The sequence below is a fragment of the Homo sapiens genome, chromosome 14, assembly GCF_000001405.40.
Source record: "Homo sapiens chromosome 14, GRCh38.p14 Primary Assembly".
Lineage (NCBI taxonomy): Eukaryota > Metazoa > Chordata > Mammalia > Primates > Hominidae > Homo > Homo sapiens.
Window position 1 is genome coordinate 92632470 of NC_000014.9, and position 14123 is coordinate 92646592.

General features: G+C 51.8%; 1 protein-coding gene across 2 annotated transcripts in view; it reads left to right on the top strand.

Moving 5' to 3' along the window:
• The window catches only part of RIN3 (Ras and Rab interactor 3), a 175214-nt gene that overhangs the window by 118689 nt on the left and 42402 nt on the right, over positions 1 to 14123 (top strand). For both annotated transcript variants that reach the window (NM_024832.5, NM_001319987.2), the window contains one exon: positions 8769 to 8860. In NM_024832.5, the coding sequence (NP_079108.3) occupies positions 8769 to 8860 (92 nt within the window). The remainder of the gene's footprint in view (positions 1 to 8768; positions 8861 to 14123) is intronic.

Consider the following 14123-nt stretch of genomic DNA (forward strand, 5'->3'; position numbering starts at 1 on the left):
GGGGTTTAGCAGAGCGCCTGGCATGAAGTAAGGGCTCAAAAAACGATCAAGCATGTTCTTATTGCTGTTATAGATAAAGAAACTGAGGCTGGGGGTGTGACCTGCCTTGGTGTCACAGCCAAGTTCTGAGCCAATTGGAACCCAAGTGTGTGTGACCCGCAAGCCCCAGCTGCTTCTGCCCAGGAGACTGACTACCAGGCCCGTGGCTGGGAGGATGCCCTGTGCTGCCCCCACTCCAGCCGCTCCCTCCACATATGGGAGACTTGTGGCTCTCTTTGTGGAAGAGTGATGTTGCGAGCCAGGCAAGGAAGGGCGGGAAGGGAACTTAAGGCAGAGGAGACAGCATGGGCAAACGCCTGGCAGTGGGAAAGCTATGGGCAGCCTCAGGAGTGGCTTCATGGGCAGAACCGCATAATGGGTGGGAGGTAAAAATGCTTGGAAAGCCTTGAACGCCGTGCCTAGGGATTGCAGGGACTTCCTTCCGCAGGTGCTGTGAGCCTGTTGCTGATATCAGACTGCTCTTCAGCGAGCAACCTGGCCATAGCAGGTGGTGGGATTGGAGGAAGGGGAGAGCAGAGACCAGCAAGGGGCTGCTGCAGCCATCCTGGCCCTATGCGGAGGTGACTGCCCCAGGCAATGGCTAGGGGAACCAGAGGGGTGAGGGCAGCCCCTGAGGGAGGGAGCAGGGGGAGACTGTGGAGATGCCGGGGTTTCCATCCTTGACGACAGGAAGACGAACATGCATGATGGTTTCCTGAGTATTTACTTGGTGCCAAGGTGCTGTGCTCAGCACCTTGCAAGGATCATGGGGCCTGATCCCTGGCACAGCCCTGGGCACTGCAGTCATTAGCCTCAAGAAGTGGGCACCATTACCCAAAATGAGGAAGGAAGAGAAGAGCCTCTCAGGCCTGCCCCACCCTAGGATGTGCCCAGTGTTGTGACTAAGCCGCCACCCTCCTGTCCCAGAGGAGGAGATGGCAAGAGGAGGGGACGGCTGGCTGGGCATCCTTGCCCTAGGAGAAATCTCGTCACTGTGCCTGGAAAGCTCTGATATATAGCCGGCCAGTCAGAAGCCGGCTGGTGGCCTGAGACAACTGCATCTGAAGTGGGGGCAGTCTTGGGGGACTGAAGCCTTAAGTCTGCAGAGTCTAACTCTACATCCAGGTAATTAGTGTCAGAATTGAGCTGAATTGTTGTATACCCAGTTGGTGTCTGGAGAATTGGAGAATTGATTGCTAGTGTTGGAAAACACTTCAGAGGGGGTTATCAAATCAGTTTAGTGGGTCATGACTTTTTTCTTTTTAATGAAAAAGTAAACTGGACTAGAAACTATCAGAATCTCATGTAGCTGGAATAAGTCTCATTTTGCTAAACTTTTGTTTTAGTGGTGTGTGTGTGTGTGTGTGTGTGTTTGTATGTGTGTGTGCATGCACATATGCTGTGTCATGATGTCAAAAGTATTTCTCTCTGGTTACAGAGGTTTGGAAAGCACCAGCTAAAACAGAGACCTCCAGAGAGAGGTGCTGGCTCCCTGGGAAGTTCACAAGCTGACCCTCCAGAGTGTGGGGGAAATGTCAGAATATTTATTCTAAAAATCCCTTTTTTTTTTTTTTTTTTTTTTTGAGATGAAGTTTCACTATTGTTGCCCAGGCTGGAGTGCAATGGTATGATCTTGGCTCACTGCAACCTCCGCCTCCTGGGTTCAAGCAATTCTCCTGCCTCAGCCTCCCACATAGCTGGGATTACAGGCACCTGCCACCATGCCCTGCTAATTTTTTTTATATTTTTAGTAAAGACTGAGGTTTCACCATGTTGGCCAGGCTGGTCTCAAACTCCTGACCTTCAGGTGATCCACCCACCTCAGCCTCCCAAAGTGCTGAGATTACAGGCATGAGCCACTGCACCCAGCCAGCTAAAAATCCAATTTTAAAAATTCCCATTTTTGTGAATGCTTTTTAGTGGATTTCATAGTTTATAAGGAAACACACACACATCAGGAAGGTTGCTTAATCTTAATATTTTTTTAATAGCCCTGACCTTGGGGGCCTGTGATTCTCACCGAAGGCTGCATGCACCAGGATCCCCTCAGGAGCTGTTTAAAAATGTGGATTCTCAGCTGGGCGTGGTGGCTCACGCCTGTAATCCCAGCACTTTGGGAGGCCGAATCACTGAAGGTCAGGAGTTCAAGACCAGCCTGGACAACATGGTGAAACCCCAGTCTCTACTAAAAATACAAACTTTAGCTGGGGGTGGTTGCAGTCACCTGTAATTCCAGCTGCTTGGGAGGTTGAAGCAGGAGAATTGCTTGAACCCAGGAGGCAGAGGTTGCAGTGAGCCGAGATCACACCACTGCACTCCAGCCTGGGTGCCAGAACGAGACTCTATCTAAAAAAAAAAAAAAAAGGTGGATTCTCAGCCTACCCCAGACCTGATGCTAGGGACTCTTGGTTGGAAACCTAGCAGTCTGCATTTCTAGCAGCTCCCTAGAGGATTCTGATCCAGGCAGTCTGCAGAGTATAAATGGGTATGGTGGCCCCAGTGGAGTCCCTCACAAGTGTCTAGTTCCCTTTGGTTTTTTGTTGTCAGTGAGTGTTCAGGCGGAGGCCCCACCACTCCAGCACCCTATCTGGAGGTTTTTCTTGGCATTTTCCAAGAACTAAGGACTCGGCATTTGGAGATGAATAAGCCGTGCATGGCAGCACCAGTTTCAGACACCTGCCTTCCCCATCTTCACACCCTGCTAATGTTTACTGAGGCATGAAACTGATTTGCCCTCCAGACCCCAAACTGGGCAATTTGCCCAGGCTCCACCTTTGTCACAGAGCAGGAGGGCACCATGAGGACATAATGAAGCTGAGGTTGGAGGACTGGGGTGTTTACTGTCTTTTATTACGGAATTGGGAGGAACCAGTACAGGCTGCTCCATTAGCTTGGGACCATTTACTTCTCAGCCCATCATAGGCATTGATGGAGTGTAAATAGGAGCAAGCTGCGGAAAAGGGGATCAGTTTGGTAAATTCTGTCATTTCTCCAAATATATCTACCTTGTGGCCCGGCAGACTCACATCTAGGAATGTATTCAATAGAAATACTAGCTTGAGGCTGGGCGTGGCGGCTCACACCTGTAATCCCAGCACTTCGGGAGGCTGAGGCAGGCAGATCACTTGAGGTTAGGAGTTTGAGACCAGCCTGGCCAACATAGAGAAAGCCCATCTCTACTAAAAAATACAAAAATCAGCTGGGCATGGTGGTGCACACCTGTAGTCCCAGCTACTCGGGAGACTGAGGCAGGAGAATCGCTTGAACCCAGGAGGCGGAGGTTGCAGTGAGCTGAGATCACACCACTGCACTCCAGCCTGGGCAATAGAGGGCGAGTCTGTCTCAAAAAAGAAAAAAGGAATACTAGTTTGAGGGCAGAAAGATGATGTGCTCAATTCGTTCTTTGCAGCACAATTGGATCCAGTGGCAATTAGGAAATAATTTTTTGCTAAAAACAAGTAGTCTAGGAGTTACAAGCCTGAACCCTCCATTCAGATGCAGGCATTGTCACTTACAAGCTGTGGGATGGGGCAAGCCATTTAGTCCCTCTGTGCCCCAGTCTTCGGAGCTGCGAGATGAGTGTAAGGAAAGTACCTGCTTTGTGGAGCTGGTAAGAGGATTTAAAGAGCTAATATACGTAAAGTGCTTAAAACTGCTCCTGGACACTTAGTAAGCTCTGTAATGGTTAGCATTGATGAAAGAGGAGAGAGAGGAAGACAGAAAGAAAGAGAGAGGGAGGGAAAGAGAGAGAGAAAGAAAGAAAGCTTGGATGACCATCAAAAGAAGAAAAATAGTAGCTGGGCACAGCGGCTCACGCCTGTAATCCCAACACTTTGGGAGGCCACTGTGTGGATCACCTGAAGTCAGGAGTTTAAGACCAGCCTGGTCAACATGGTGAAAACCCATCTCTACTAAAAATACAAAAATTAGCCAGGCGTGGTGGCACACGCCTGTAATCCCAGCTACTTGGGTGGCTGAGGCAGGAGAACTGCTTGGACCTGGGAGGTGGAGGTTGCAGTGAGCCCAGATCATGTCATTGTACTCCAGCCTGGGTGACAGAGCAAGACTCCATCTCAAAAAAATAAAATAAAATAAATGACAGTTATCCCATGGAATACTCTGCAGCACAGAAAAGGAAGCCAGTATACATGTATGGACTTGCTCACTATATAGATCACTTTACTGTTCAGTAGAGAAAGCAAGCTGCAGAGCAATTGATGGAACATAATGCCATTTTCACTTTTAAAATACATGATGTGGGCCAGGCATGGTGGCTCATGCCTGTAATCCCAGCACTTTGGGAGAAGGAGGCAGGAGGATCACTTGAGGCTGGGAGTTCAAGACAGGCCTGGACAATTTAATGTGACCCTGTCTCTTCAAAAAAATTAAAAATATATAAAAAAATAGTAAAATAAATGGTGTGTGTGCGTGTGTGCTTGGGCACGCGTATGTGTACATTAAAGAAGGGCCAGCAAGTTTACTCTCCAGAGTGTAGACCAGCAGTCCCCAACCTTTTTGGCACCAGGGACCACTTTCGTGGAAGACAATTTTTCCACGGGCCAGGGGTGGGGTGGGGATGGTTTCGGGATGATTCAAGCGCATTACGTTTATTGTGCACCTTATTTCTTTCACTATTACATTGAAATATATAATGAAATAATTATGCAACTCACCATCATGTAGTACCAATGGGAGCCCTGAGCTTGTTTTCCTGCAACTAGATGGTCCCATCTGGGGGTGATGGGAGACAGTGACAGATCATCAGGCATTAGAGTCTCAGAAGAAGCACAAAACCTAGACCCCTCACTCACATAGTTCACAGCAGGGTTCATGCTTCTATGAGAATGGAACGCTGCTGCTGATCTGACAGGAGGCGGAGCTCAGGCTGTATGCGAGCGATGGGGAGCAGCTGTCAAGACAGATGAAGCTTTGCTCACTCGCCCGCTGCTCACCTCCTGCTGTGCAGCTCGGTTCCTGACAGGCCATGGCCTAATACCAGTTTGTAGCCCAGGGGTTGGGGACCCCTGGGGTAGACAGCAGGACCCTCTGGAGAAGGGAGGACCTGCACATTTTAAGCACTTTTGTATTGTATGACTTTGGCTACAGTAAATCTGTTTCTTTTCTAATTAAAAAAAATCCAACATTTTAACAAATGTTGACAATAGCACTTAGATCACAGGATTGCTTCAAGGGTTAAGTGGGATAACAGGGAAAGCTCTTGGTGAGTGACTGATAAGGCTTAACAAGTGATAGCTCCTTTTCCTTAAAAAAAATGTAGTAAGTGGTTTGTGATACTGATTGAAAGTTTTGCCTTGTAGAGAATCAAATTTTATATTGGTATAGATTTTTAAATGTTTCAGTGTTTCTGTCAGAAACTTACTACTGGCTGGGGGTCTTGGGTGAGTCCCTTAACCTCCCTGAGCCTCTGTGTCCTCTGTAAAACAGAGGTACTGATGCCTGCCCTCAAGGTGCCTGTGATTTAGTAAGAATATCACTTAAAGCCTCCAAAACACCTAGCCCCACACCTGACACATAGTAGATGCTCAGCAAACACCCACGTCCTGTGTGTGCTTTCCTCTGGACGGAAGAGGTGCAGTGGTGAATTGGATGGGATGTGGAGAAGCAGAGACGCATGAGACCCTTGCACCCCAGGTCATGGAGGAAGAAGAGTCCATGGTGTGGCCTCGAAGGATGTATAGAATCTAAGTAGATGTAGGTGCTGGGGATGAGGGGCTATTCCCTCTATGCGTAAACTCAGAGGTGGGAAATGAGTGGGGCACACCCACTAGAGGAAGATAAGCGTGATCATTTGGGAGCCAGCAGGAGTCCCCCGAGTGTGGGGAAGGGACTGTGGAGGGCGGATGTTGGGGGGGCAAGCCGGAAAGGCAGAGCAAGGCCAGACCAGGGGAGGCCCTGGATGCTGGGGTTCGAGTCTGGGGTGTGACTGCAGCTGCAACTGCAGCAGACTGAGTAAAGTGACAAGGTGGCAGGAGGCTGTCCTGGCAGTCAGGGGGTGGGCACAGATGAGCTGAGCAGCCTCTGCTGGCTATTGTGATACACACGGCGACGGAGGAACCATTGGAAACCCCACTGACAGGCCACCACGTAACTGAAGTAAACTGAGGCAACTTGGGATGAATGTTGCCACCCTTCAAAATTAGAGCTGGGGTTAGTGGTGGTGGGGCAGGGCCTGAGATGGGAGTGCAGCACTGAGGGCCCATCCAGTCCGGCCATCAGAAGACCTCAGGATGCAGCAGAATCACACAACAATGACAGAAGATGCCAACGTCAGCTGGCCGGTCCCCAGACCATTTGACAGTGGAGAAGCCCAAGGCCACTCCCGAGACCTGAGAAAGGGCCCAGAACCTGTGCCACAGCCTGCCCTGTCCAACTCTTCCATAAACACAAGTGTCCCAGCTCCATCGAAGCACTTCCCAAGGGGCCATGGGGGCACCTGGGAGGCCACAGAAGCCAACATCGCTGAGCAGAGGTTCCCTGGCAGGGGCCAGCCCCATCCCAGGCGGTCTCTGCTCTGCTATGCCTCCAGTTCAGCTCCTGAGTTTGGCAGGGTCCATTCAGCAAATAGCCTTGGAGCCTCGTGGTGAGTGCTAAGCACTGCGGGGCTTTGGAGACCTGGAAGGCAGCCCAGACCCGTTCCAGGAGCACCCAGGGCTCCCAGCCTCATGTCACCAGGAAGATGAGGTGCAGACAGCAAAGCCATGAAGACCCCAGGGAGGAGGTAGCTCTGGCCGAGGCCATGGTGAGAGGCTCAGCAGATGATGGATGATGGGATTTCAGTGACTGGCATCAGGATTTGGGGAGAAGGTGGACGAAGTGTGAGCAAGGGAGGGTAGAACAGGTTGTGAAGAAAATAGTGGTGGCTGCCAGGTCTTGATAACCACTGCTGGGCACCCTCTCATCCATTCCTGTCTTCACAGAGGAGGAAATGGCTTCAGAGAACAGGGCAGGTGGGATAATGAGGAAGGAGCGGGAGACATGGCTGGAAAGGGGGTCCCCAGGCCTTAAACACTAGGAAGAAACACAGAATCGGGACCACCCATCCTGGGGCCCTGGCAGTGCCACATTCCCCTTCCTGAGCGTGTGAAACAGCCCTAGGCCAAAAGTCAGGAGCCCTGGCCTCAGCACACAGTGTCTTCAACTACCATGTGGGCTGGCCACCCCTTTTCCTTTCCGGGCCCCTGTTTCCCCATTAGTCCGAACTCCTTCTGGGAGATCTCTGGAGGGAACCCTGAACAGTTGCCTGTTGTGACCAAAGTCATCAGATGGACCTGCCTGACTGTGCGTTTGCTGGGAGATGCCTGACTGTGTGCTCGTCAGAGGCTGCCTGACTGTGCGTTTGCTGGGAGATGCCTGACTGTGTGCTCGTCAGAGGCTGCCTGACTGTGCGTTCGTCGGGGGCTGCCTGACTGTGCGTTTGCTGGGAGATGCCTGACTGTGTGTTCGTCGGGGGCTGCCTGACTGTGCGTTTGCTGGGAGATGCCTGACTGTGTGTTCGTCGAGGGCTGCCTGACTGTGTGTTCGTCGGGGGCTGCCTGACTGCGTTTGCTGGGAGATGCCTGACTGTGTGTTCGTCGAGGGCTGCCTGACTGCGTTTGCTGGGAGATGCCTGACTGTGTGTTCATCGGGGGCTGCCTGTGTGTTTGCTGGGAGATGCCTGACTGTGTGTTCATCGGGGGCTGCCTGACTGTGCGTTTGCTGGGAGATGCCTGACTGTGTGTTCGTCGGGGGCTGCCTGACTGTGTGTTTGCTGGGAGATGCCTGACTGTGTGTTCATCGGGGGCTGCCTGTGTGTTTGCTGGGAGATGCCTGACTGTGTGTTCATCGGGGGCTGCCTGACTGTGCGTTTGCTGGGAGATGCCTGACTGTGTGTTCATCGGGGGCTGCCTGACTGTGCATTTGCTGGGAGATGCCTGACTGTGTGTTCATCGGGGGCTGCCTGACTGTGCGTTTGCTGGGAGATGCCTGACTGTGTGTTCATCGGGGGCTGCCTGACTGTGCGTTTGCTGGGAGATGCCTGACTGTGTGTTCATCGGGGGCTGCCTGACTGTGCGTTTGCTGGGAGATGCCTGACTGTGTGTTCATCGGGGGCTGCCTGACTGTGCGTTTGCTGGGAGATGCCTGACTGTGTGTTCATCGGGGGCTGCCTGACTGTGCGTTTGCTGGGAGATGCCTGACTGTGTGCTCGTCAGAGGCTGCCTGACTGTGCGTTTGCTGGGAGATGCCTGACTGTGTGTTCATCGGGGGCTGCCTGACTGCATTTGCTGGGAGATGCCTGACTGTGTGTTCGTCGGGGGCTGCCTGACTGCATTTGCTGGGAGATGCCTGACTGTGTGCTCACTGCACATCTCAGTGTGCACCAGCAAGGGTCAGAGGGCAGGGAGGGGTGGGCCACTCACTTTACCCTAAAGAATGCCTTTAGAGGAGCTGGCCTGGGCTCAGCAGTCCAGGAAAACCAAGGAGAAGCAGTGACCCCGCCCCGCCACTCCTGAGTAGGATCTCCACCTCTCTGGGTCCCTGGTGCTGGCTCAGGACCTAGAGTTGACTTGATGCTCCTTCTGCCTCAGAGTCTGCCCCTCAGCTCCAGGGAAGCTTCCAGGCTGTATGGAGACCCTGGCAGCCAGCAGAGATTGCCAGGGCTCTTCCTTTGTGGAGGCTGGGAATGGACACGGTGGACCCAGACATGACTTCTGCCCCTCGTGTCTTCACAGAGACTTACTGCCCTTCACACTGCGGCTACCCCAGGCCATCCTTGAGGCCAGCAGCTTCACGGACCTTGAGACCATCGCCAACCTGGGTCTGGGTGAGTCTTCTCCGAGGGGTTAGGGGAGCTGGTGGGGCGTTAGGAACTGGGGCCCTAGGACTGCCCCAGGGGCCGCCTGTGCAGAGGGACAGCCTGAGTCCCAGCTCCCATGGGACCACCCACACCCCTGCCTCAGGCTGCTGAGCCACGTGATAGAGAGATTGTCCAGTTTCTAAAGAGTCGCCTCTATCAGCTGCCCAGGACGCCCTGAGGCCCAGCCACGTTTGGTCTAAGGGAGCAGGGCCTGGTCAGGACCAGAGAGGCTGGTGTGGTCCTGGGAGAAGCCGAGCTTTACCCCAGGGCCCTTCTGAGTGGGAGCCAGAGAGCTGGGCCTGGCAGCCACCACAGCCCTGGCCCCTCATCGGATGGAAAAGCAGCATGAATGTGACCATGAACTTGAGTGTGGCCCTTGCGGGTCCTGTCCTGTGCCCAAACAACTGACCCTAAGCACACCCTACCCCACCCTTCCGAGTTCCTGAGGGGTAAAGAGGGGAGAGGAAAAGAAGAAGGGGAGGGAGGGCAGGGTGTGTCTGACCCCAGCACTTTCACATAATTATAGAAAGAACTCACGTTTAGTGGGCTCTTCCCATGTATGGGCGATGCCAAGTGCCCTACAAGGAGGCAATCAGCAGGTGCCTACCTAGAATTAGGGCCTCACCTTGCTGGCCCTCAGGAAGCCCAAGCATGCCAAGTCTGTAGCTGCTGAGAGGCCAGGCCACCTGCCTCTTTCAGTGTGTGTTGGGAGCAGAGAATTTTTTTTTTCTTTTTCTTTTCTTTCTTTCTTTTTTTTTTGAAACAGGGTCTCACTCTGTTGCCCAGGTTGGAGTGCAGGGCATGATCATGGCTTACCCCAGCCCCAACTTCCCAGGCTCAGGTGATCCTCCCACCTCCACCTCCTGAGTAGCTGGGACTATAGGCGCACACCACCATGCCTGGTTAATTTCGTATATTTTAACATGGTCTCTCCATGTTGCCCAGGCTGGTCTCAAACTCCTGGCCTCAAGCGATCCTCCCACCTTGGCTTCCCAAAGTGCTGGAATTACAGGTGTGAGCCACTGCGCCCGGCCCTGAGAATTTCTTACAGGGAAAGGGAGAGTGTTTCACGCAGCTGCTCAGGAGCCGTTGTAGGCCCCAGAGCCTCATAACCTGGGGCCGCCAGGTCACATTTATGAACAAAGCAGTTCATCAACAAGTCTTTAGTAAAACTCAGCCATACATAGGACACTGTGCTCCATGGGGCTGAGCACAGTGCCCAGAACATTGGTGCCTTGTTCACCAGTGTTGATGGAATGGAAGAAACAGTGACCCAGAGGGCAGAACCAGATCACAGAGGAAGTGAGGGGCAGACCTGGGATCAAAGAAGACACCCCTTGGTTCCCAAGCCAGGCCACTGTTCACCACTCAGAGGGGCCCATCAGGGGCAGCAATGCAAGAGACACCACCAGGCAGCCATGGTCAGGGGCCAGGAAGTAGGAGGAGTTCTGGTCCTTGGGTGTTAGCGCTCCATGAGCACTGACTGCGTTCTAACCTCTTTAGCTGCCATTGGCTCGTCGCAGCTTCAAACAATCCTATAAAGCAAGTACTATTATTATAATTCCCCTTCTATGGCAGAGGAAACTGAGGCACAAGAGGTTAAGTCATGTCCAGTTTCACACAGCACATGGCAGAGCTTGGATGAACCCAGGCCGTTTAGCTCCCACACCTGCCATCGTCTCATGGTGCCTCTTAACTCTTTTTTTTTTGAGATGGAGTCTCACTCTGTCACCCAGGCTGGAGTGCAGTGGTGCGATCTTGGCTCACTGCAACCTCCACCTCCCAGGTTCAAGCGATTCTTCTGCCTCAGCCTCCCGAGTAGCTGGGACTACAGGCGCATGCCACCACACCTGGCTAATTTTTGTATTTTTAGTAGAGACAGGGTTTCACCATATTGGTCAGGCTGGTCTTGAACTCCTGACCTCATGATCCACCCACCTCGGCCTCCCAAAGTGCTGGGATTACAGGCGTGAGCCACCACACCCGGCCGCCTCTTAGCTCTTTATCCAAATTCTTCTAGGTCTAATTTACCCAGTTATAACCCTAAGGGCAAGTTTTCAGTTGCTTTTGGGAATCAACTTGCTATTAAACTTTGCTTCCCAGAATGTTAGTTGTTGGGCTCCAACCCTCCCAGGATCTTGGATGTGGGACAGGTGACAGTTTTGTAATTTGCACTTTTGTAAGGTGCAGATGACCTCCCCCTAGGGGTTCGATGACACCGACCATTGCAGAGCACTTGGCATTGTCTTATGTCATTTTTGTGCATTTTAAAGATAGAACACTGGCTGGACACAGTGGCTCATGCCTATAATCTCAGCACTTTGGGAGGCCGAGGCGGGCAGATAACCTGAAGTCAGGAGTTCAAGACCAGCCTGGCCAATATGGTGAAATCTCGTCTCTACTAAAAATATAAAAATTAAGTGGGCATAATGGCATGTGCCTGTAATCCCAGCTACTCCGGAGGCTGAGGCAGGAGAATTGCTTGAACCTGGGAGGCGGAGATTGCAGTGAGCTGAGATTGCCCCACTGCACTCCAGCGTGGGCAACAGACTGAGACTCTGCCTCAAAAAAAAAAAAAATTAGAAGATCAAGTTTTAGCTCCGCTGGGAACCTTGTGTAAAGTGCCCCAGACAAGATTTGCACCAAAGGCTTTCTGTCCTCAGCGGTTCTTGAGCAGCTATGTGAAACATGCTCTCCTTTTCCCTGAAGAAATCCTCAGGGCTGGGCCTGGTGGCTCACACCTGTAAAGTGCCCCAGACAAGATTTGCACTGAGGGCTTTCTGCCTCTGAGGACAGCCTTTCTACTGCTCCTCAGCTGCACCTCCCCACCTTCTCTGTTGTTTTTGCAACGAGCAGTCAATGGCCAGTTTGCAGGCCATGTTGGTAGAGTAAGTGAGATGCATGGCCTCAGTCTATGACACATTGCTGCACCTCTTGACCCCGCTATGGGGTTTAGTCATCCCTAGGACTAACTGCCGGGAGACTCCCTACAGATTCCTCTCACCTGCAAGAGCACAGCTTCTCCTAAGACCTAGGAACATGCTTTTTTTTTTTTTTTAAAGGCGATGTTCCTCCTGGAAGAACTGCATTCCTTTCTGGCACAGACAAGACCTTCTCTCCTGGGAGAGTTTGATCTCAGGCACGAGGAGGAAGTGGAGAAGGGAGGTTTCCATTTGGGAAGCCAACAGCAGTTCAGATTCATCTATCAGCACTTACTTCCTAGAGAACAGGATTTAAATGGAAGCTGAGTGTGTTGCAGCTTAGGAGCTGAAGGGATCCGTGCAGACCTGGTGTCCCCGAGTGCTGAAAGACATAAAGCCAGGCTCACCACAATCATTTTCCCCTGGAGCCAAGGAAAGGTTCACTTTACAGTCATCTGAATGGCTGGAGACCCAGGGCGCAAGGAGCACATCCTATCAAAGGCCAGAGACCTTGGCCCTGGCATGGGCAGGCTTGGGCCCTGCCAACCTTCATGTGAAATAGTGATAATAAATATGGAAAGAGCAGCGTTTGTCAAGGGCCCTGACACACCAGGCATTGTGCCTGGCATGTCACACATTGTTCTAGGAAGGGACTTTGGTGGCAAAGAAGTGAAACTCACTCAAACTAGCATCAAAAAGAGACTTAGAGAAAGGACGCCAGGGACCCTCTGAGAAATGGAGACGGAGGGTTAGCTGGGCTTTGTGGGCCATTGCAGCTGCTCGGTCACACGTGCCAGCCCCTTGCTCCCTGCACATGGCCTCCTTGCTGACTCAGGTTCCTACTCCCCTGCTCCCCCGACTAGCGGGGCTCTGACTCAGCTCGCAGCCCCACCTGACCACTGTTCTTCATTCAGATTGTCCAAGGAGAACCAGATGATCCCTGGCCAGCCTAGTGATGAGGCCCTGTGAGCCAGGGGTTACCTTGTATAGTCAGCATTTCAGGGAAGACCAAAAGGACAATGGGAGGCAAATTCATTGCCACATGCCCACACATACATTATCTCATTTATTTATGTAAAAGCCCGTTTTACAGATAAGGAAATGGAAAGTTAAAGAGTCTAAAGGGTTTATTCAGCTATAAAAAGGAATGAAGTGCAGGGACTGACACGTGGTGCAGCATGGAATAACCTGGAAAACATGCTAAGTGAAGGGAGCTGATACAAAAGACCACATATGCTACAGTTCCATTTGAATAAAATGTCTAGAATAGGCAAATCCATAGAGACAGAAAGCAGATTGGCGATTGCCAGGGGCTGCATAGAAAGGGGGATGGAGAGTGACTGCTAAATAGGCACGGGCTTTCTTTTGGGGTGATAAAAAATGCCCTAAAGGCCGGGCGCAGTGGCTCACGCCTGTAATCCCAGAACTGTGGGAGGCCAAGGCGGGCGGATCATGAGGTCAGGAGTTCAAGATTGGCCTGGACAACATGGTGAAACCCCATCTTTACTGAAAATTCAAAAATTAGCCAGGCGTGATGTCACATGCCTATAATCCCAACCTCAGGAGGTTGAGGCAGGAGAATCACTTGAACTCGGGAAGTGGAGATTGCAGTGAGCCAAGATCGTGCCATTGCACTCCAGCCTGGGTGACAGAACGAGACTCTCTCTCAAAAAAAAAAAAAAGCTCTAAAATTGATTGCGGTGAGAGTTGCACAACTCAGTGAATACACTGAAAAACATGAGCATGTTTTTTAAATGAGTGAACTCTGTGGTATGGGAGTGGTATCTCAATAAAGCTATTATCCAGAGAGAGAAAGAGAGATCGACTAAAGGGCTTTCCTCATTTTGGGATGTAAACAAAAGCTGAATTCATACTCAGGGCTTGCTGAGTTTGAACCCCGTGCTCTGCCTGCGCTATGCCCTGATTCTCAGCCTTGCTCACCACTTCCCGCCCCTCGGCCCTTTCCTCCGCTTGCCGTGCCTGCAGTGGAAAACAGCATGGCGCCCTTTTGCCAAGGAAGCCTGGATTTGGCATTGGGATAGGCAGGGTAGTGGGCCCCACCCTCTGCACCATGCCCTCCACATGCCCGCCATGTGCTGCTTTTTCTTATGACACTTTTTCATCTTATAATAAAAGTCAAGCATGTTGTGTTTGTTTGTTTGTTGTTTGAGATGGAGTCTCACTCTTTTTGCCCAGGCTGGAGTGCAGTGGCACGATCTCAGCTCACTGCTACCTCTGCCTCCCAGGTTTAAGCGATTCTCCTGCCTCAGCCTCTGGAGTAGAGTAGCTGGGATTGCAGGCACCTGCCA